The following is a 21,199-nucleotide window of genomic DNA, read 5'->3' on the forward strand; positions in this document are numbered from 1 at the left end:
AATTTCTGAACAACTCTAAAAAATAAATCCAATATTAGTTTTAAATAAGAATAAATTAAAACATAGAAAAGTTAAGTGACTTATCCAAAGTAACATAAGCTGTAAGCAGAAGAATTGAGATTTGAGCACTGATATTACTGGTTCTAATGTCAGTTCTTTTTACAGTATCCATTTCACATTAATTGATAGTCTACCAACTACCAGATGTTTCACTGAGCACTCTTTAGGAAGGAAGGGAAATTAAATATTGGCATTAGTTAACGAGAGACATTTCTTTCCACCGAGTGTAAGTAATAGGATGAAGATACATTTTGAGATGATATGATTTATCCAGAAGAAAAAGCAAAGTTTGTTAGAGGTCTCCAATCTATGATAAAAGCATTGTGTAAAATACAAGAAAAGTAAATTTCTTAAGAGTAATGTTAGATGAAAGCCCATCATAGTTAATGGTATAAGTAAAACTGCATTAATTGTCAATGGTATGAAAATGTTCAGATAAATCATGCCAGGATAAAACAGAGGGCTTATAAACAAGTCTTCCAGTTGGGTGGTCATCAAAAATGTATGAATATCCACTGAGTTAAAACTACTTACTCTTTGGCTTTGCCATCTTCATGTTTAGTGAAGGGAAGCAGGGCGATTTTTGGTGTAACGTTCCGCTTAACCTTCACTAAAGGGTTAATCAAGAACCATTACTCTAAAAACTCAAAACAATTCTGCAAGCCTTTATAATGCCTAGTTTATCCCTTAATTTTATTATCATGGGAATTAACAGAAAATCCTCCCAATACAAAATAAAGTGTGTTCTTTCAAAGATATACAGAAAGAGGCAGCTGAAGAGATGTTTCTTCCTCACATTAGCCTTGGGCAGGGTAAACAGAAGATAAAAATCCAAAGGGACATACTGAGTAAGAATAGCCATTGAATGATAGGAAGAAAACCTAAATTCCTTGGTCTTGTGGACAAAATAGAAACAGGAATGCAAAAAGAGCCTGGAACCCCCAGAGGACCCTCAGCATGAGCAGCAGAATTATCCACAATGATTCTCATGCATTTGTACTTTTTTTAATCAGCAAAATTTAGCAGCTTATATTTCAATGAGAGACAGCAATGTTTTCACTGGGGGGCAATTCTGAACCACAGGGGACATTTGACAATGTTTGTAGACATTTTTGTTTGTTACAAGTGGAGTGGTGGTTGCTTTGGGTATCTATTAAAAATAGGTAGAAGCAGGGAAGCCGTTAAACACCCTAAAATTCACAGGACATTCCACCACAGCAAAGAATTAACTAGCCCAGAATGCCAATAGTTCTGAGGCTGTGAAACCTTGGAGTAGAAGGAGAATCAGCATCAAACCCTTTTTCATAGGCATTTTTCAGGTTTCTTTGTTACATCCGACTGAAACAGGCTTGACTAGCAAATTTCAAGAGTGACCTTGTTTCAAGGTGCATCATTTGTCGGCATCAAATTCACATCCTCTTTCTTATTTAAAATCTACCATTAGTTATTTCTCCCTCAAAAGGCTTCTACAATTTAACAGTGAGGACATGTTATGGCTGTGAAATAGATGTCCCTATCATACTGCTTTAGATGGGAAAAGAAACATTCTGCAGTGTTTATAAGTCATAAAGAATTCTAAATATCTCCCACTCAACACATTCAGGCAAAATGATGGTATAATTTCTGTGCTGGGTAGCACTCTTTCATACCATTATGTGTCGTGTGAACCAACTGTAGGTAATGCACTATCTTCCTTTAATCAAATCTGCATTGTAATTTCTATAAAAAAAATCAATTAAACACAAGGAGCAATTACTTATTTTTTATCACAGCATAATTTACTTTCCCAGAACAGCAGCATGAAAATGTGAAGAAAGATCTCATCTACCTCAGTGTATTTAAAGTATGCATATTTTTAAATAAATGCGAATGGAACACTGTCAAATAAGCAATATATTATCTCTATATAATTCCCCATTTACATCAACTTTATGGATGGGTAATATGGCTTAATAGCAAAAGCTTAAGATATCTTTTTGAAACACAATTTTTTCATAGTCAATATTATGGCTGAAAACATTTTTCAGACTCTTACAGTGAAAATATAATTAGACAACAATTTGCTCATCAACCTCATCAAATCACTTTCATAAATGACCTACTTAGGTGTCAAATAAACCTAAAAGAACTATATTTTTTCCAAGCCTTACAAATCCATCCTTGTTTACATTTCCCTACCTATCTCTGTGCATTACTATCAAGGAATTTTGTTAACTACATGCTTAGTAGTTAGTAGGAGATCATGGAGCTAATCTAGCATCCTTACATCTGGGACCTGTAGTCTTTTCAGTGAAATCTATTTTACACTGAGCATCAGGAGTTTTTTAACTTTATGTAGATAAGATTTACCTGGAGGGTTTGGTAAGTAGGTTTGGAGAGCCCCCACATTTACATTTTAACAAGGTCTCATGTGATGCTGACGCTTGACCCATAGGTCTGGAAACTACCCAAGAATTTAAAAGACCCAATTTTCTTCATGATTCAGTAATCTGTATGTGCTCTTAACCACTGTGTCAGCGGCATCAGTTTATTTTTTCTCCCTTACTTTTATGTTATCAACCTCTGTGCTCATCAGTTAAACTAAAAGATCAATCCACTCCAACCTGGAAGATTGCATTTTCTTTCCTTCTTTTCTTGCCTCTTCCTGCTCCTCCCTTTCCTTTCTTTCTCCTCCTCTTTCTTCTCTCCCTCTTTCTCTCTCTTTCACCCCCTTCCTCACTCCCCAATTCCCTCCCTCCCATATAATTCTGTAACTCTGATCTCTTTCAAATCCAGATGTAAATCTCACTTTGGCTGTGAAATCATCTCTGATTTACCCCAGTTGATACACAATTCTCCTCCATGTGGAACTGCTCAGTACTTATGAACTCACTTTTATTAGACTTGTTTGTACTCCTTGCTTCATTAATTAGTAAATTAAAGCCTTTGTGTATCCCTATGGTGCATGGTCTTAATTATATTATTATACTATTTGTTACATGCATTTTTTTTTTCCTTTTTATAACAATGCCTGCTGGAATGATTGGCTCACAATCAGTGCATAATAAATATTATTAGCCCAATAATGTACTGAGTCAGGGGCTGCAAAGCAGTATTTCATCACGCAATGACCCAAGGTTCACAAGAAATCTAATTAGTGCTTCAACTAAAGCCACCAGTCAAGTCTGGGGGAAACTGGCTCCAAATCACAATGCTGCTTTAGTTTCCTCAGTAGCTGCTGATATTATCCTATTAATGGGGGAACTTTATGGAAGAATTATTAAATAGGCTTGGTCTGGTTGCTAGGCTGTCTGCGTGACTATAACAGGGATTCTCAGAAGCCATGTTAAGCATGTTCAAATACTCCTAAAATGGCTGCTGGTGATAGAGAAAGTAGAATTCTCCAAAGTTAATTTTTATACTTCTTTAAAAGCCTGGTTTGCTCTAAAGGAACTCATAAATGAGACATATTTTAACCACTTCATCATATTTGTTGGATCACTCTGTTCTGAACATAAGCAATTTTGGAATGAAGGCCTTCTGGCCACACGGGTAATATATGTGTTGCAAAAAGTGGGACACCATGAGAGGTATGGAATGAATGAACCCGCTCTCTCTCTCTCCTTCTCTCTACTTCACCACTCCCACCCCAACGGCCCCATCTAAGATCTGGATGACTAATGGAAGGTTAATTCTCTGAGGCCTAAAGGAAAATTTCACACTTTCTCAGTAGTTCAAAAGTTTGGCTTTCCCCTAAGTGATAACATACAAATGGAGTAACAGCAGAACTCTCAACATTAAGGAGTTTCTGTGAAGGTGCCAAGGCATTTATTTAAAAGTTGCTAATCAGATTTCAAGGCCCAAAGTCCCGGCTCCCTCACATTAGTGATCAGATTTGTTAACTTTAATTTTTCATAACAATCCCATAAATTTATGTGTTTATGAGTTTTTTAGTATTTTAGTCCATTTGGGCTGCTACAGCAAAACACCTTCAGTTGGATAATTTATAAACAAGAGAAATTTATTGTTCTCAGTTTTGGAAACTAGGAAATCCAAGATCAAGGCACCAGCAAAGTTTGGGGTCTGGTAAGAGTCCAGTCTCTCCTTCAAAGATGGTGCCTTGTTGCTGCATTCCCAGAAGGGAGGACACTGTGTCCTCACATGGCAGAAGGGCAAGACAGCTCCCTTCTTTTATAAGAGCACGAATCCTATTTTATAAGTGCAGAGCCCTCATGACTTAATAACTTTCCGAAAGTCCCCATCTCTTAATACTATCACATTAGGTATTAGGTTCCAGTATATGAATTTTGGAACAATATTCAGATCATAGCAATTAGTTTATTTTTAAATTTTTTTCCTGATTGGTTCATAATTAGATTTATTGTTATATGGAAGCTGAGGCTACAGACTTTTTTCCTCTGTATCATAGACAAGATATTAGAAATGCAGCAACGGCATTTGCAACCAATATCCAGGTGTAGACAGTAGTTCTCAATCACTGGAGATATTGCTCCCCAGGAGACATTTGAAAATGTCTTATGACACACTTGATTGTCACAAAGATGGAGGGGAGGAGGAACTCTACAGCATCTAGTGAGTACAGGCCAAGCATGATCTCAAACATTTTAAAAACACAGAACAGCATTCCCAAACAAAAAATCATCCAGCCCAAAACGTAAATCATGCCAATACTGAAAAACACGGAGCTAGATCATGGGTAGACTTTGGAGACAGGTTAATGTAGACTCTTCTACATATTATCTATGCAAACTCGGGAACACTAATTAACCCTAACACCTCAATATCCTATCCATAACCAGGGTTTAGAAATTATTCCAGCGCAATCTCTGGAAAGGACCGAATGATGTAATTTATGCAAGGTACCTATTTCAATGTCAGATACAGAGCAAGCACTCAATAAATGGTAGCCCTGGCATATCACAGGCACTCCATAAATGTTAGCTTCCCATTAGTTCAAATATATTTTGACCAGAAGCTTCTCCTAGAGAAACTGTCATTCTAAGACAAACTAACTTCAGTGAAAATGTCCAGAAGTTCCCAGTGTAAGCTAAAAGAACAGTTGTCTTGTACACAAATATTTAGGTGATCAGGCTTCTCTGCTCACATAACTCAACTATTTAAATATATATTTGATATTTGTTATTTGAGGCGGGCTGGTAGAAATTGTATGCTAAAAGTAGATATTTCCTATGATTCTGTAGAATATTTACCAGGAGAAGGAAAGAGAATGCTTAATTATTAGGAATAATCATCCAATAAACTGTTCACTTGAAAGAAAGGAATAAGGAGAATATGGGGGAAATTCTAGTTATATATAATCACTTAGGAAACTCCAATAGCAGTAAAAGCATTGGTTAATATAGTTGTTATGATCTCGAAAATGCAGACCCTCAAAATCCCAAATCAATATTTTCCTCAATAGTCAAAAAGCAGAATTTGTTTAAAAATTATTTTGTATAATTAGAAAAAGCTTCTACCTTTCTTAACCAGAAATTGCTTTTTAAGTCTGCTTTTTCAAGTATTAGAGTACTCATAAATATTTCAGAAAAGCCATTCAGTTTCAGCACCACATGAAAAAGGAATGATAACTTTATATGTGTATCTCTGATTCAGGACACATTTTCTGAACCACCCATCATATTCCATGGACCCTTAAAATTCTCTGGTTCAGCAAGTTAACACTGCCCACTTCACCTTAACAAAGAAAATAAGAAAGCTTTAGGAGGCAAATTTAAAGAAGGAGAACATTCTCCCTGCAATATAAAGACCATGGAGGCTATACGCTGATTGATATTTCTGTACAAATGGGTAAAGAAATATCAGAAATGGGTACAGAAATATCAGCTACTCTACTAAAGTCAATGCCGTGTCTCAAATGCTGCAAAATTACAGCAGTCTGTATCAATTCTCTTTTGAGCAATAGTTTACAAAGCCATTCAAAAACTGTTTAAATTTTTATTAAATTCAAATTTTAACCTTTAATATCAGCAGATTAGAAGATCTTGCTAAAAAATAATTTGAGAAGCATTTTCTACATAGGCACTTGAGTTATTGGCAGCAATTGCTGAAAAGTTAGCATTTTTATTTCTCTGTTGTTATAATGTGTCTAAATATTAGGTTGGTGCAAAAGTAATTGCAGTTTTTACCATTGAAAGTAATGACAAAAAATTCAACTACTTTTGCACCAGCCTAATAATTTGGTATAAGCTGTCTATCTATATGTGTATCTACCATCTATCTCAGTATCCTCTTTCTTGTTGGACATGAAAAAAATAATATAAGCTAAATTTCCTCTGTTCATTTATATATGCCGTGGGATGATACTGCATTGGTAAATGAATTCATCGGTCAATGGATGAGTTATTTGTGTACTTTGTTCCATGAAGACATATTAAGTTTCACCTAAATCTTTCACTATGTTTGGATTCCAGTACAAAGTAGTTTTTGAGATTTGAGAAAGGACAACAATTTAATTCCTATACAGATGGTGAAATTGAAAGGCAGAAGAAACACCTGCATTTTGGAGAGATGGAGATGAGCCACAAAGTAGAGAGTCAGAGTGTGTGAGAACTGTCCAATAAAGCCACCCAAAATCTGAGGTGGGCTGGGGGATGTGTTCAGCACATAGTACAGACAATCCCCTAATTACAGTTGTTCAGCTTAGGATTCTGCGACCTTATGATGGTAAGAAAGTGATACATATTCACTAGAAACCGTACGTCGAGTACCCACATAACCATTCTGTTTCTCACTTTCAGTACAGTATTCAATAAATTACATGAGACAGTCAACACTTTATTATTATAAAATAGGCTTTGTATTAGATGAATTTGCTCAACTGTAGCCTAATGTGCGTGCTCTGATCATGTTTAGTCTAGGCCAAGCTATGATGTTCAGTAAGTTAGGTGTATTAAATGCATTTTTCACTGGGCTGTAACTCCATGGTAAGTCAAGAAGCATCTGTATTTGTTTAGAAAATACTTGGATTCAATTTCCAACTCTAATCTTGTGACACTTTAAGACATCCTCAATTACAAACACACATACACACACACACACGAGAGAGACAGAGACAGAGAAACACACATGATAATTTTTTTAAAAATTAAATGTACTTAAATTTAAAAGATGCTGTGCACATAATTTGTGGAAATAAATGAGAGAAATGGTTTCACAAAACAAATGTTGAAGAACTGTAGTTATGCAAAAAGCCAAAAGTCAGTATTTCGTGACATACTCTTTGGCCTCTAAGCAGGAATAACGCACTGTTTTAATCTTGTCATTTTATCCATTTTATTTTGACCCATTGCTTATACTGAGTTCAAAGGTATTTTGACTTTATAATTTTTCTATTTTCAATTTCATTGCTGATTTGTCAGGAAATCTCTGAGGAGCCCAGTTTTCTCCTTTAACTAATAGAGATAAGAGGATCACTCTTCCCGTCTCAAATCATCCTCTATTCACACCAGGTTAAGCCTCACTATCTATATTTACATTGCACTTTGCATTTTTTTCTATGGTACGTTTCATAATTTGAAAACATTATTTTTGTACTAATTTATCTATGAGCGATTATAGGACATGTTGTAGGAACCATGGGTGTTTTGCTAACAGATGTAGGCCAAGTCAATGAGTTGCTACTGCCTAACTCAGTGTAGTCACCTATGGAATAGCTATAAAATGAATAAATTAATAATGAATTTTTTTTTTAAGACAAAGTTTCACTCTTGTTGCCCAGAATGGAGCACAATGGCGCGATCTCGGCTCACTGCAACCTCCACCTCCCGGGTTCAGGCAATTCTCCTGCCTCAGCCTCCTGAGTAGTTGGAATTACAGGCATGCACCACCACGCCTAGCTAATTTTTGCATTTTTAGTAGAGACGGGGTTTCACCATGTTGGTCAGCCTGTTCTCGAACTCCTGACTTTAGGTGATCCATCCGCCCCAGCCTCACAAAGTGCTGGGATTACAGGCGTGAGCCAGCATGCCTGGCCAATAATGGGATTTTAATAGCACTTGTTACAAAAATCTTCATTTTTAATGACATTTGGAACTATTTTTTAATTCTTAAATTGTCTAACATTTTATAGTAAACTTTATTTTACGTCACTTTCTAATGTACGCAAGCATAACTTCAGAATTTACTGAGATTTTTTGAATGACTTCTATTAAACTAATTTAATTGCATAATTTTCTACGTAGCAAAGTTATTTTTTTCCAATTTTTAAATTTCTCTGATTCTTTAAAATTAGCATTATCAATTATTTTTTATGCAAGTTTATAAGAAGCAACTGATTCACTAATCAGGCTTATTTATGTCAAAGTTTCTAATTATTTCCAATATAGTGAGGTTTTTAGCTTAATTTTTATTAGCATTTCTACAAAACTCAATTTTTCTGAGTCAAATCACTCAGATTCTATTTTTTTGTTCAGGATAAAAATGTACCTATGACAAGTAGTATTGGGTTTTATAAAACCATAATTTATATCTGATGATTATGTCAATCTGCAATATGTATTGTGAATCACTTTATTTCTTGGAGAAAGGAACAGGGTAAAAGTTTCAGACTCTGTGAATATCTCTTAGAGAAAAAAATATCATAGTTACATAATGATGCAGGATCTGTGGATATAATAAGGTCTAAATGGCAGGACTAAATGCGAGGACTAAAGCATTCTATGCTTCCACATTATACCTATGACACAAGCTTTGATATTTAAAAATAAACAAAAACAAACCCAGATACTCCCAAAATATGCACAAAAAACTTCAGCTTTTATAAGAAAAAAAGCAAATATCAGTTTATATAATAGGTTTCCTAAATGTTTTGTGAGAATCTAGTTTTTGTATAATATTTATATTTGTATTTTCATTATTTCAAGGCTGGGTTTGATGTATTGGAAGCAAGGGCACAGATTTGGTAAAGCAGTGAATGCTTCCAAAGACAAAAATTTATTTCTGATATAACTTTTGAAGCAATGTGAATTTTCTTCTATCAAGTTTCCTTAAATCGAAATCAAACTATAACAATATCTTGGTTTCTATGGGTTCTCTGTCATGTGCATCCTCAAGTATATGTGACCAAAGGTTTTTAAGCCATAATATCACTATTATATCATCACCTACCTACCATAAGAATGCTAAAAATTGTCCTCTTTGAGATTTTGATAGTTTAATATTTCTGTGTGGAAAAAAAATCAAACCCAACAAAAGAAAATAATATATGATAAAGAATTACAAGGCCTTCTATCCCACCACTTGTTATAGGTTTAATGGTGTGGCCCTCAAAAGGATACACTGATGTCCTAACCCTCAGTGCCTCAGAATGTGAACTTATTTGAAAATAGGGTCTTGGCTGGGTGCAGTGGCTCATGCATGCAATCCCAGCACTTTGGGAGGCCGAGGCAGGGGGATCACCTGAGGTCAGGAGTTTAAGATCAGCCTAGCAAATACGGTGAAACCACGTCTCAACTAAAAATACAAAAATTAGTGGAGCATGGTGGTGGGTGCCTGTAATCCCAGCTACTTGGGAGGCTGAGGCAGGAGAATCACTTGCACCCTGGAGGCAGAGGTTGCAGTGAGCTGAGATCGCACCATTGTACTCCAGCCTGGGCAACAAGAGTGAATCTCTGAGAAAGAGAAATGGAAGGAAGGAAGGAAGGAAGGAAGGAAGGAAGGAAGGAAGGAAGGAAGGAAGGAAGGAAGGAAGGAAGGAGAGAGACAGAGAGAAAGAGAGAGAGAAAAGAAGGAAAGAAAGAGGAAAGAAAAGAAAGAAGGGAGGGAGGAGGGAGGGAAGGAAGGAAAGAAAATAGAAAATAGGGTCTTTTTAGAGGTAAAATCAAGTTAAAATGAGGTCATTCATGTGGGCCCTAATCCAATATGATTTTTTGCTCTGACTAAAAGAAGAAATTGGGACAAAGAGATAGACACACACAGAGGGAGGAGGATGTGAAAATACGCAGAGAAACCATGTGAAGACAGAGAACTGGAGAAATGCATCTGTAAGTCAAGAAATGCGGAAGACTGCCTGCACACCACCAGATACTAGGAAGACACAAGGAACGATTTCTCTGCAGATTTCAGAAGCAGAGTGACCCTGCCAACATCTTGATTTCAGATTTTTAGCCTCTACAACTATGAAATGATAGTTTCTTTTGCTGTAAGTCACCCAGCTTTTGGTACTTTTTGTGGTAGCCCTAAACAACAAATTCAACTCTTTTTCCAGTATTAACAGTAGTAAAATTAAAACAAGGATAATAAGAAAAGAAAATCTACTTTTCTGCTTACTCTTATAAAATCTGCCTAGCACTCATTTCTGCTGATTTGATTACATTTACATACAATTTTAATTAAAGAACTACTAATAAATGTTTCAATTACAGGAAAAAATACACTTAATGAAGAAATTGTCTATGATGATGATCTGAGAAGCCTTTTCAGAAAATGTTGTTGATATATTTATTTTTCTTTTCTACTATTACAGAGAAGACTGGAGGAGAAACTAATTCCAAGCCCCCATACATGATCAACTGAGTCATAAATCCTTCCCCAGTGTAGGTGAGAGTTCACAGATACTACTCTCATAATCTCTCTAGTAAGTCTTTCCATTTCTCAATCATTTAAGCAGTAGAGGACACTGTTTTTATTTCTTTGCATTTTCAATGTATAAATCGTGCAATAACACATTGTTCAATTTTTTCTAAGTTGGTTTAAATGCTGAGAATTCTCCTGAGTTCTCTTCCTTGGCAGAAAAAATAAATTTCTGGAATATTTTCAAAAGCATATCCTTGCAAATGGAAATGGTAAGCTTAATAAACCATGCTGTTTGAGGTCAGCCTTGCTGAATATTGCTCCTCATATCATCTTTAGTTATATAAGGTCATAAGGGATACTTACGTTCAAGATCATAAACAAAATGTTGGTGTAGCTCAGCAATTTCTTTTCTATGCTTAAGAATTATTTTCAAAAACAATATCACTTTTAACATACTTCTGATTCTCTTGATGATAACCCCAGGCTTTGATAGTTTGTTTTTCTTTTCAGCTTTTGCACTGGGCCTTTGACATATGAATATACCTGTATCACTCTCATAAACTTCAGAAGCTTTGTTGCATTTTCCTTCAAATTCTCTCTGGGTCAACACTTAAAGTATAATCCATTAACCAAGCCCTTGCAATATCCACAGTAGAAAATGAAGATAAGTAAATATTGCTGTGATTCTTTTACTGACATTTTTTCCAATTCTTACCCCTTTCAAACAGCGAATCAGTTCTCGAAATGAAATCAATCTTGTAGACATGATTACCAATTATAAAAAGATGAAATTTTCAAATTTTATTAATTGGATCAATTTTTAGTATCATTAAGATTACCTTGCTTTCATTTACATTAGGTGAAGTTATGGTATACAATGACACTAATAAGCAAAGGCGAGTTTAAAATAACAAGAGCTACCATTTATTCAATGTGGTATTATGTGGAAAGAAACAGTACCTGATGCTTTGCAAGCATTATCTTGCTTAATTTGCTTCATAAAACTATGAAAAACATATTATTTCAGTTTTATAGGTGAGGGATGTAATCGCTAGTACAATATAGGAAACACATGTCAGAGCCAAGATTTGAAGTTGAGTCTCTCAGACTCCAAAATCTGAAACTTTTTCAAATATGCCGTCTTGTTTTCCACACTGATGCTTTTGACCCTTGCCATAAAGTCAGCATGACCTCTTTGACAATGTGAATACAGTTAACACTGTGCACTTTGAACAAAAGAAAAGGAAGTAAAAGGACAAGACCATTTTCAGGCAAAATGAAGAATATGCAAAATGTCCCCTTTTTTTCTTTCTTTTTGCTGATTTCCTTCCTAATTCCCTCCTCACTACTCCCACCTCTAAGTCAAAAGCTTTTTCTTCTACCTTCAAACATCTGCAGCTATGCTATTTCTTAATTTACCTATCAAAACCACTTTTCTCTCCAACCACTCTTCCCTTCTCCCAATATACTTTTATATCAGTAGTTGTTATCCAATGACTATGAATTTAAGTCTTTTGTTTCTTTGGGAACAGTGTGTGCATGTAAGAAGAAGCAGTACAGTATAATAAAGAAGGCAGGTTTGGGAGCCAGGCTCTTGGCTGCATCACTAGGTGACCTTTTTGTAGCCTCTTTGTGCCTCAGTTTCATCATTTGTCAAGTAGTGCCTATCCCAGCACTTACTGTGGGAATTAAGTGAAGTGATTAGAACAATGCCTGCCACATAGTTGGTAATATATGTGTTAGCTGTTATCCAAATGTATCTTTCATTGAATTAAAAATGTAAATAAAATATGTCTTCTACTAAAGGAATTGCACAAATTACCATGAAAAAGTAAAAAAAAAAGTATTGGGATTTTGTTTTATTACACCTCTAAAAACATATTACGTGAGGACTTTAGACATATAAGGTTACTTCTATGAAGAAACAGAATGGAAAATGTCAAGTCATTTAAGATGCTCACTTATTACATTAAAATATTTTCCAGGCAGGTGTGGTGGCTCAAGCCTGTAATCCCAGCACTGTGGGAGGCCGAGGTGGGCAGATCACTTGAGGCCAGGAATTCGAGACCAGCCTGGCCGACATGGCAAACCCCATCATTACTAAAAAAATACAAAAATTAGCTAGATGTGATCCCAGCTGCTTGGGAGGCTAAGTCACGAGAACTGCTTGAGCCCAGGAGGCAGAGGTTGCAGTGAGCCAAGATCACGCCACCACACTCCAGCCTGGGTGACAGAGTGAGACTCTGTCAAAAGGACGGAAGGAAGGAAGGAAATAAAATATTTTCCATTGATTACCCATGCTTTTTATTTTGAATTAATAGTGTTCGATGCATTATTAAAAAATAGAATTTAAAATAAATTGTAGAAAATATGGAGAGAAATATTTATGTTTCAAATTTCCCAAGAGTAGGGCTTTGGTGCATTATAATCCCCTGATAGCTGGCATGATCCACTTTGTTGGTTACTTTTACAGGGTCCTTCTACTCTCTTCCTTAGTCTCCAGGCTTTTAATAATCACACAGAATATTCTTTTCACTACAGAACATACCTACCTATATTTTGGCTGTTTCTCAAGCTGACTTATTTCCCAGACATATTCATCCTTTAAGTACGCAAAAATGACTTTCATAATATTTCCATTGATAGGCAATACACAAATATGTTTAAATGAAGGAATAATTTATTGCATTGTACTTTAAAATCCACATTCCTTGCTATACATAATCTGAAACCACTGTAAAAGTACACTTTTTTAATGCAACAGCAGGCATACATTTTTTCCAGTTTGATGTAGGCAGGACCTCAAATAATGTCAAAGTAAAGATGGTCAATCTATTCACTATTGGAGGAAAACATTCACTGTGTATCAGCTTGAGTTGGAGAAATTACAGTTAAGAAATGTTTTGTAACTAATGATGGCTTCCACGTTTGTAAATCAATGACTCATAATGTATACATGTAAACCTATATTTCATTATTTTGTTAGTAAACCCCATTATAACATATACTTTAACCCTATTATTCAATATAAAATGGCAAATGCATTTTTATGATTCATTTGTCGTATTGTTATTTTACTCAAGATTTGTTCAAATGTTTTACTTTTTGTAAGTTAAACTTTCTATGCTTAAGGAGTATATAGCTACAAGAAACAGATAAACACTAAAAATTACAGTTCTAAGACTTAGTTGAATATCTTTCAGTAATTTCCCTTAGAGATATGGTCACACTGACCAAGCTACATAAATATATTTTTTAAAATTTAGTATACCAATGTGTCTATTCATGATAGGTTGTGTTTTTCTCCTTGTACCTAAAAGTTTGATGGTTTCTTTTCCACTCTGTCTCTCTCTCTCTCTTATTGAGCTACCTCGTACTAGTCCTGCCTAAAGTTTTATATTGTTTCTATTCTAACTATACTCAGAAATACATAATTTGAAACTTGAATATAACCTCTTTTGTATTTCTAATTTTTGGTGAGCATTATTCTGGTTGTTAGCCCCTTGAAGGCAGGTACTTTGTGTTACATTCCCAATTTATCTGACAAAATATTTAGTTCAGCATAAATAATATGCTTAGCATTCAAGATATAATTTGTGATTAATTTATTTTGCTTTATAAGAGGAATTCTGGGGGTAGCATACACGCCAATCATCCTTGAAATATATATAAACTACAGTGCCTCTAGAGTGTTATAGAAAAGCCAGTGGATTAAACATCAAAACCTCTTAGAGTCTCTGAATCATATTATTCTATTACTTCTCTTATTTTCTTTATCTATCTTTGTCTCCTATTATAAGAAAGAAGACATAAAGATATAAAAAACTTTTCCTACCTCTGCCTTGAAGAAAGTTTAACTATAACCTTCATAATTATGACCAGGGACAAGTTAATGACAGATTCCAGCTTTGGTATGGCTAAGGTAGACCACTCAAGGGATCAACTAACTAATATCAAGGACAGTAAGGTTCTTACCCCATTCATGAGCTTCAAGTGTTCTATCTCACCCCAAAAGAGATTATAACTCTTTTTTTACAATTTCATTTTATAATATAAACCACTATTTAACCTATATTTCTGAATCACTGGACTGAATAATTTTATATCAATTTATTCCAACTGCTATGAATACTGAAAGTGCATGAATGGAAGATGGCGGCCCATGAGGCAGGCCTTGTTAACAGTGTTTCCCCAGCAGAAGGGTAAAACACAAATAATCCCTCCAGAGAATCAATTTGCAAAAGGAGCTCTTCAAGGTTCTGAACTCCTTTCCTTGCTCTGCTGTACTAATTAGATCTGACCTAACAATGATTCTGCTTATCTTGGCGTTGTGTCACTACCCTTAGCTATACTTTAAATTAAGAAACTAACATAATTTATTTTGAGTTACTAGTACAAAAGAAAGTAATCTTCTTGATGGGATTCAGTTTGAGGCAGTAGGTTCTGTATAAAAATTTTTATCGTAGATACAATTGTCACCTGTTTTCTAGAAAAAATATATTAAATATAACCTAATGAATATGCCAAACTTACTAGGTCTGTATTTTTGCTTTATATAAAATGTCATCAAATTTAAATATAATTCCCAATAAAGTCCACATCTCTGAATTATCTATTACTTGCATTTTGGGGTGTGTTTATACTACCTAGAATGTTAACCCTTATTGTGCCTTAAATGTGCATTTGTAAAATGTAGGCACTTTTATAACTATGAGTGAGGCTGGTAAGGTAGTGTTTAGGATTCTCCATGTCAGTTAGTGAAAGTAAGAAGTACAGTGTTAAAACTATTGTAAATAGTTTCCGGGGCAAGTATAGACTGAGTCCATCCAGAATGACTGTAACCAATTTGACATCATGTTATGGATAAAGAAGCAATGAAAAATAAACCAAATAGCTACATTATATCATATTCTTAACTTTCATAAGCCATGTTTTATGGAAAACTTTTTAGTTTTCTCAAAAGGCTAATATATTTCAATATTTTGAATACATCATTGTTAATTTTGAGTTGGCAGAGGTAAATTAACCAACTACCATTACGTTTTAGGATTAAGAGATATAGCTTTTAATAAAGTTACTGAAATGCAAAAAAAAAGAGAAACTAACATAAGTTAAAATTGATTGTACATAGTGTCAAGACAGCAAACTCAAATGTCTAAAAGGACCAGGGAGAAAATGTCAATAAATAAATGTTTGTGTTCAAGGAAACCCAAAACTAGAGCAATTGAGGGCCCACACAATCTAAGCATAGTGTTTTCTGACTCTTGATGCATCAATAAAATACTTGGCCTCTGATAATTTTATTTTATAAGATAAACCAGTATATAACCTATAGTTCAAGATCACTGGACTTCACACTTTTATAACGATTTACTCAGGTAACTAAAATATTTCTTCGCTGAGAAGATCACCCTACTGCCTCACTTTCAACACATTAATTAAAGATCTTAGAACCATAACAAGCTTTAAGGACTTACTAAACAATTAGGCAAGAAATTACAATTTTGCCAGTCATCCCAGGTAATCATACCATCCTGACTCATAAAATTTCCTTATGAACATATTGACAACTTTTAGGAAAAAATCTTTCTAACAGACTGCTTGGGAAAATTCATAATGTCTCTGGCCTGGTCACACAGCTTAAGTACTTTCCGTAGAAAATATTCATGGGATTTATAGAAAGTCAGTCTACAGTGTTTACAGATTAAGAATCAGACAATCAGGGTCCTCTTCATGGAAAATGAGGATCTATTTACAGTTTATCAATAATCAGAGATGCTACGAAGTTGTTAGAATGAGCTAGGTGTAGCCTTGAGGACTTAGTAAAAGTCCTCAAAGGAAACTTAAGCATAAGCAGAGTAACTTCTCTCTGAAGAATAAATCAGGATACTTCCTGATGTCTACCGAAGGTCCCTTGAAGCCATAAGCCCAAACATTTTTAAATTATTTCTGTCCCAAATCCTCTCGCTAAGGAATTAATGTCATCCTTTAAAGATTTAGCATCATATGAATGGAGAAGAGCCAGGTAGGTGCTTTCCTAGAGAGAAAAAATAAATCAAACACAATTCATACTTTATTCCAGAAATTAAGTGTTAACATGTCAAATGCTTTTGTCTTTAATTTGAATGTCTTTCCCTTCATAATTATGTAGAGCAGAGGTTTAGTATTTTTGAGGCTATTAAAATTCCTGAGATAAACTTGATTTTTCTCTATGCCGTCACGCTCCAGAAAACATAAGAAGAATGTTAATTCTAACCTAAAAGAACCCAACTACTTCTGTGGATAATCAGTTTAAACATCCATGGGTCAGAGGAGGGGATGACAGTTTATTGTGATAAACACATGTCTAAGAGAACCAGATCAAGGTCACTGACATGTTTAATATTAATTGCTAAACAACTGTCAGATGGCAATGGTTTGAGTTCACCACCTCTCATGAGTTGAATCCAAATTGCTCTCTGAAGGAGAAATCATCTACTAAATTCTGTTCTTTCAACAATGAAAACAGGCATACCTGTCAATTTTCTATATAAAAAATACCATTGTGTTTATTCACTCACGTGGATTTTCAGCTCTGCCAATTCAATTTCTTCACTGAACCTACTAGTATACGCCTCTTCAATATAGTCACGTTCAAATAAATAAGAGTAATATTCTCATTGAGAAAGGGATATATACCTCAGATAAATTCATTGTTCCCTCTTACCCTCTGTTGTTGATAAATTTAGTTTCCAAACATTCTAAAGCAATCTTTTGAAATCATCTGTTGGCTTGAGTACAAAGAACATGAGGTCCAACTAATTCCAAGCATTTCTTTAATATGGTAAAGGTGTTGCTTTGATTGTTACTCTCAGCCACGAACTACCATTGGATCATTTAATTCCTTCAAAAGCAATTGAAGGACTGGCTTCAAACCTTTCAAAATCTGTTTTCATATCTACATATACTGAGAGGAATAGAGAGAAGTTTCTGAATAAAATAATAATACTTTGCAGTTCTCTGAAACTTGAGAGGGAACCAGAGAATGTTTATTACTGAGTTTTAATGTCTTTTAAAGAGCCAACACCTGATACTTCAAAAACGTTAATCACTCCAATAAACATTTTACTCCCAGAAATTCATCTTAAATCCATCTTATAACATAAACAAGCCTAGTAAGTAGCATTATTAGGAGAAATTTCTGGCTGAGTTCCACACATATATTCAACTTCCTGAACACCCTCTAAAAGCAATTTTACCTTACTTGACACAATACAGAAATTAATCAGCATAATAAGTAAGCTAAAACTTCAATAAAAGTGTTTGCATCTTGTCCAGGCAGGTGGCTCATGCCTGTAATCCCAGCACTTTGGGAGGACTAGGCAGGTGGATCAAGAGGTCAGGAGATGAAGACCATCCTGGCCAACATGGTGAAACCCTGTCTCTACCAAAATACAAAAAATGAGCCAGATGTGGTGGTGCACACCTGTAGTCCCAGCTACTCGGGAGGCTGAGGCAGGGGAATCAGTTGAACTCGAGAGGCGGTGATTGCAGTGAGCTGAGATCACACCACTGCACTCCAGCCTGGTGAAAAAGTGAGACTCCGTCTCAAAAAAAAAAAAGTGTATCTTAATTTGAAAATATTCATAAAGAAAAGTGTACCCTGGTAAGGGGGACAGATAACCTAAAAGAATTATAGGGGGAAGAGTTTTACATATATAATGATCACATTTTAAAAATTATAGTTGACCTGCAGATAAATAAAGTATGGTGTTTTTGCCTTTATTCCTTAAATATAATACATATCCTTTCTCTCAATGACCGGCTAATCCAACACTGATGATTCCTTGAAACATCCCTGTGACTTAAAGTTTACAATTTCTAAGAACTTTTCCTAACTCACCATCTCTCAGTTATTCACACACTTAAATTTTCTTTTATCCTATTGAAATCATGCAAGTATTGTCTGCAACCAAGATAGGTAAACATATCTTCTAGACCACTAGAACACATGGCTGTTTTCCAGATATACAATAAGTGATGTCACAGACAAAGAATCAAGATACACACTTCTCTTTACCACTGAAAATGTTCACCTCACATTTTTATCTCAACTTAGGTGGGTGTGTTTTTGTTTTTTGATTTTGTTTTTCCTACTTATGAAAATAGTGCCAAAGATCTTCAGTTGGCACTCCAAAGCACAGACAATTGCAACCAATGTTCTAGAGTTACTTCTGAATATTATCCTAGACAAGTAGCAGGAGCACTGACATGTTTTCATAAGAGAATAAAAGACATACAAAGATTTATTATCTGGCTTCATAAATTTAAAGCAACTGTAGTGCCTTGAATGTCTTTGTATAAACTTTTATATGACTCTAAAAGAAGATAAAAATCTAATAGAGACTTTCAGAAGGTCAAATATGAAAGATGATCATGTCTAATGAATAAATTGATTTCTGCTGGAGTAAATAGGTCACAATTCCAAAAAGAATCTGTATTATTTTTTGACAGTGCACCTAAAGTAAAAATGTGGCTCCATATTATGTAAGATTTTGGTACAATATTTAAAATTCTAAAATCATTAAGCAATTCCAACCTATACAGAAGTATGACACCTTGGGATTATCTAGACTATATGGCTAACTCTTTTAATTGTATACAGATGTTAAGTCTTACCTCTGCATGTGTGCATTGAGAAACCAGATGAAAAAAAAAACTTAACTGTACTTTTCAAAAAACTTGGTTAGATATTTTTATTTAAACATTTGGTTTTGTACAGTATACATTTAAATTACATTGCTTAATGAATCCATCTGAAAACAGTCACTGGTTGCTTCTGTGATTTGTGAATAGGAGAACATATAAATATAGCAGAATGACTTTGTCTAGCAACATGTTCTTGCCAAGATAATTGGGAATTAAATATTTAAATACATGGAAATAATATCTTTGCGGTTACATATGTGACTTCCAAATCAGACCAAACTAATTCCTTAGGAAGGCCAAGAGATAGTGAAGCCATAGCATCAGAGTGACACCCAGAAATTACAGACGACAAGCATTATGCAAAGGCATAGAAAATTTGAGATTTTGGTTTTAAGAAATTTTCCTCTTTGTAAGTCAATGTCTTAGTAAACAGGAACTATGTATTCATTACAAACATATTGATAGATGTGTATGTGTGGGCATTCATGTGTGTGTATACATGACTATAATTCACAATTTAATTTGGGTAGATAAATAGATATTGTATAGATCCACATATACTTTCATTTGGCTATATATAAAATATATATACATAATATATAGAATTTCATCTGGTTATTATATTAATATACCATAAATAATAAGAGTGTGTGTGTGTGTGTGTGAGCGCATGTGTGTGTGTGTGAAATTTAGCTATAAACTTTGAGAGGGGAAAGAGAAAGCAAAAAAAAAAAGAAAAGGAAAAGTTAAACCTCAGAAGAGAATACACTGATCTAGTGAGTTTTTTTAAATCTTGAAAAAATGGTTTTAAATTTTTGTTTGATACTTTTGTAATCTCAAAGCTGTCGCAATAACATATAGTGGTTTTGAATTGAAAAATAAAAAGATAATTGCCTGCGCTCAGAAGCTGGAGATCAGTTTGGGCAACACAGTGAGATCTCACCTGTACAATAACATATTTTAAAAAATTAGCCATTGGAGCAGTGCATGCCTGTAGTCCCAGCTACATGGGAGGCTGAGTCGGGAGGATGGCTTGAGCCTGGGGGACTGAAGCTGGAGTGAGCCATCACTGCCTCATTGCAACTCAAGCCAGGGTGACAGCAACACCTTGTCTCAAAAAAAAAAAGATATTAATGGCTTAAATATGCATAATCTCATGTTTGTTAAATGATGCACAGCCATGAATTTACTATCAATAAATATTTTTACCATTTTCTTTTTTGTTATCTTTTAGATCTCCATCAAAATAAACATAAGTAAATTAATTCTTTATCTTTACTTTTGCACTATCTTCTCTCGTTTATAGCTTTATCTTTTCAATCAGTTTCTAGCTTCCTTTGGTTTTATTAGTAATGTATTACATTTGCATAGCATTATGTATTATATTGAACAATATAAAAGTGCCTTTTATAAGTAAAAATCGTTGATTATTAGCAATTTCATATGGCTTAAACTTAACTCTTCTCAAAGTGCATTTTTATGAATTCCCTCATTTGATCATCAACCTTGTTATAAGATTAATACTCAGGTTACACAAAAGAAAATAAGGTTTCAAAGAGTTATTACTAAGTCTGAATCAGCTAGATATGTTAAAGTACTGGTGCATTGATTGTAGATTAAAGATGTGAACATGCATATACAAAGGCATTGTCCTGAAATTGGTTTTAATTAAAAGCTCAAAATCCACATTTCCATCTTCCCGCCACAATCTCTTACCCCACTAAAAAGTTATCATGATGATTAACATGGGGCCTTACTTCACTGAACTACTAATTATTCTTTTCAGTGCTTCTTTTATTATTATGACTTTAACAATACATCTTCTGATCTTACTAATATATTTTTTATTAAGAAGCTTAGTTGTTTCTACCAAGATTAAAGAGGAGATCATAGCCAAGTTTCTTTTAAAAATGAAGAC

General features: G+C 34.5%; 1 protein-coding gene across 15 annotated transcripts in view; it reads right to left on the reverse strand.

Moving 5' to 3' along the window:
- The window catches only part of NRXN1 (neurexin 1), a 1,113,630-nt gene that overhangs the window by 874,294 nt on the left and 218,137 nt on the right, over positions 1-21,199 (reverse strand). The gene's annotated exons all lie outside the window — the stretch shown is intronic.

This window comes from Homo sapiens, chromosome 2 (assembly GCF_000001405.40).
Source record: "Homo sapiens chromosome 2, GRCh38.p14 Primary Assembly".
Classification (NCBI taxonomy): Eukaryota; Metazoa; Chordata; class Mammalia; order Primates; family Hominidae; genus Homo; species Homo sapiens.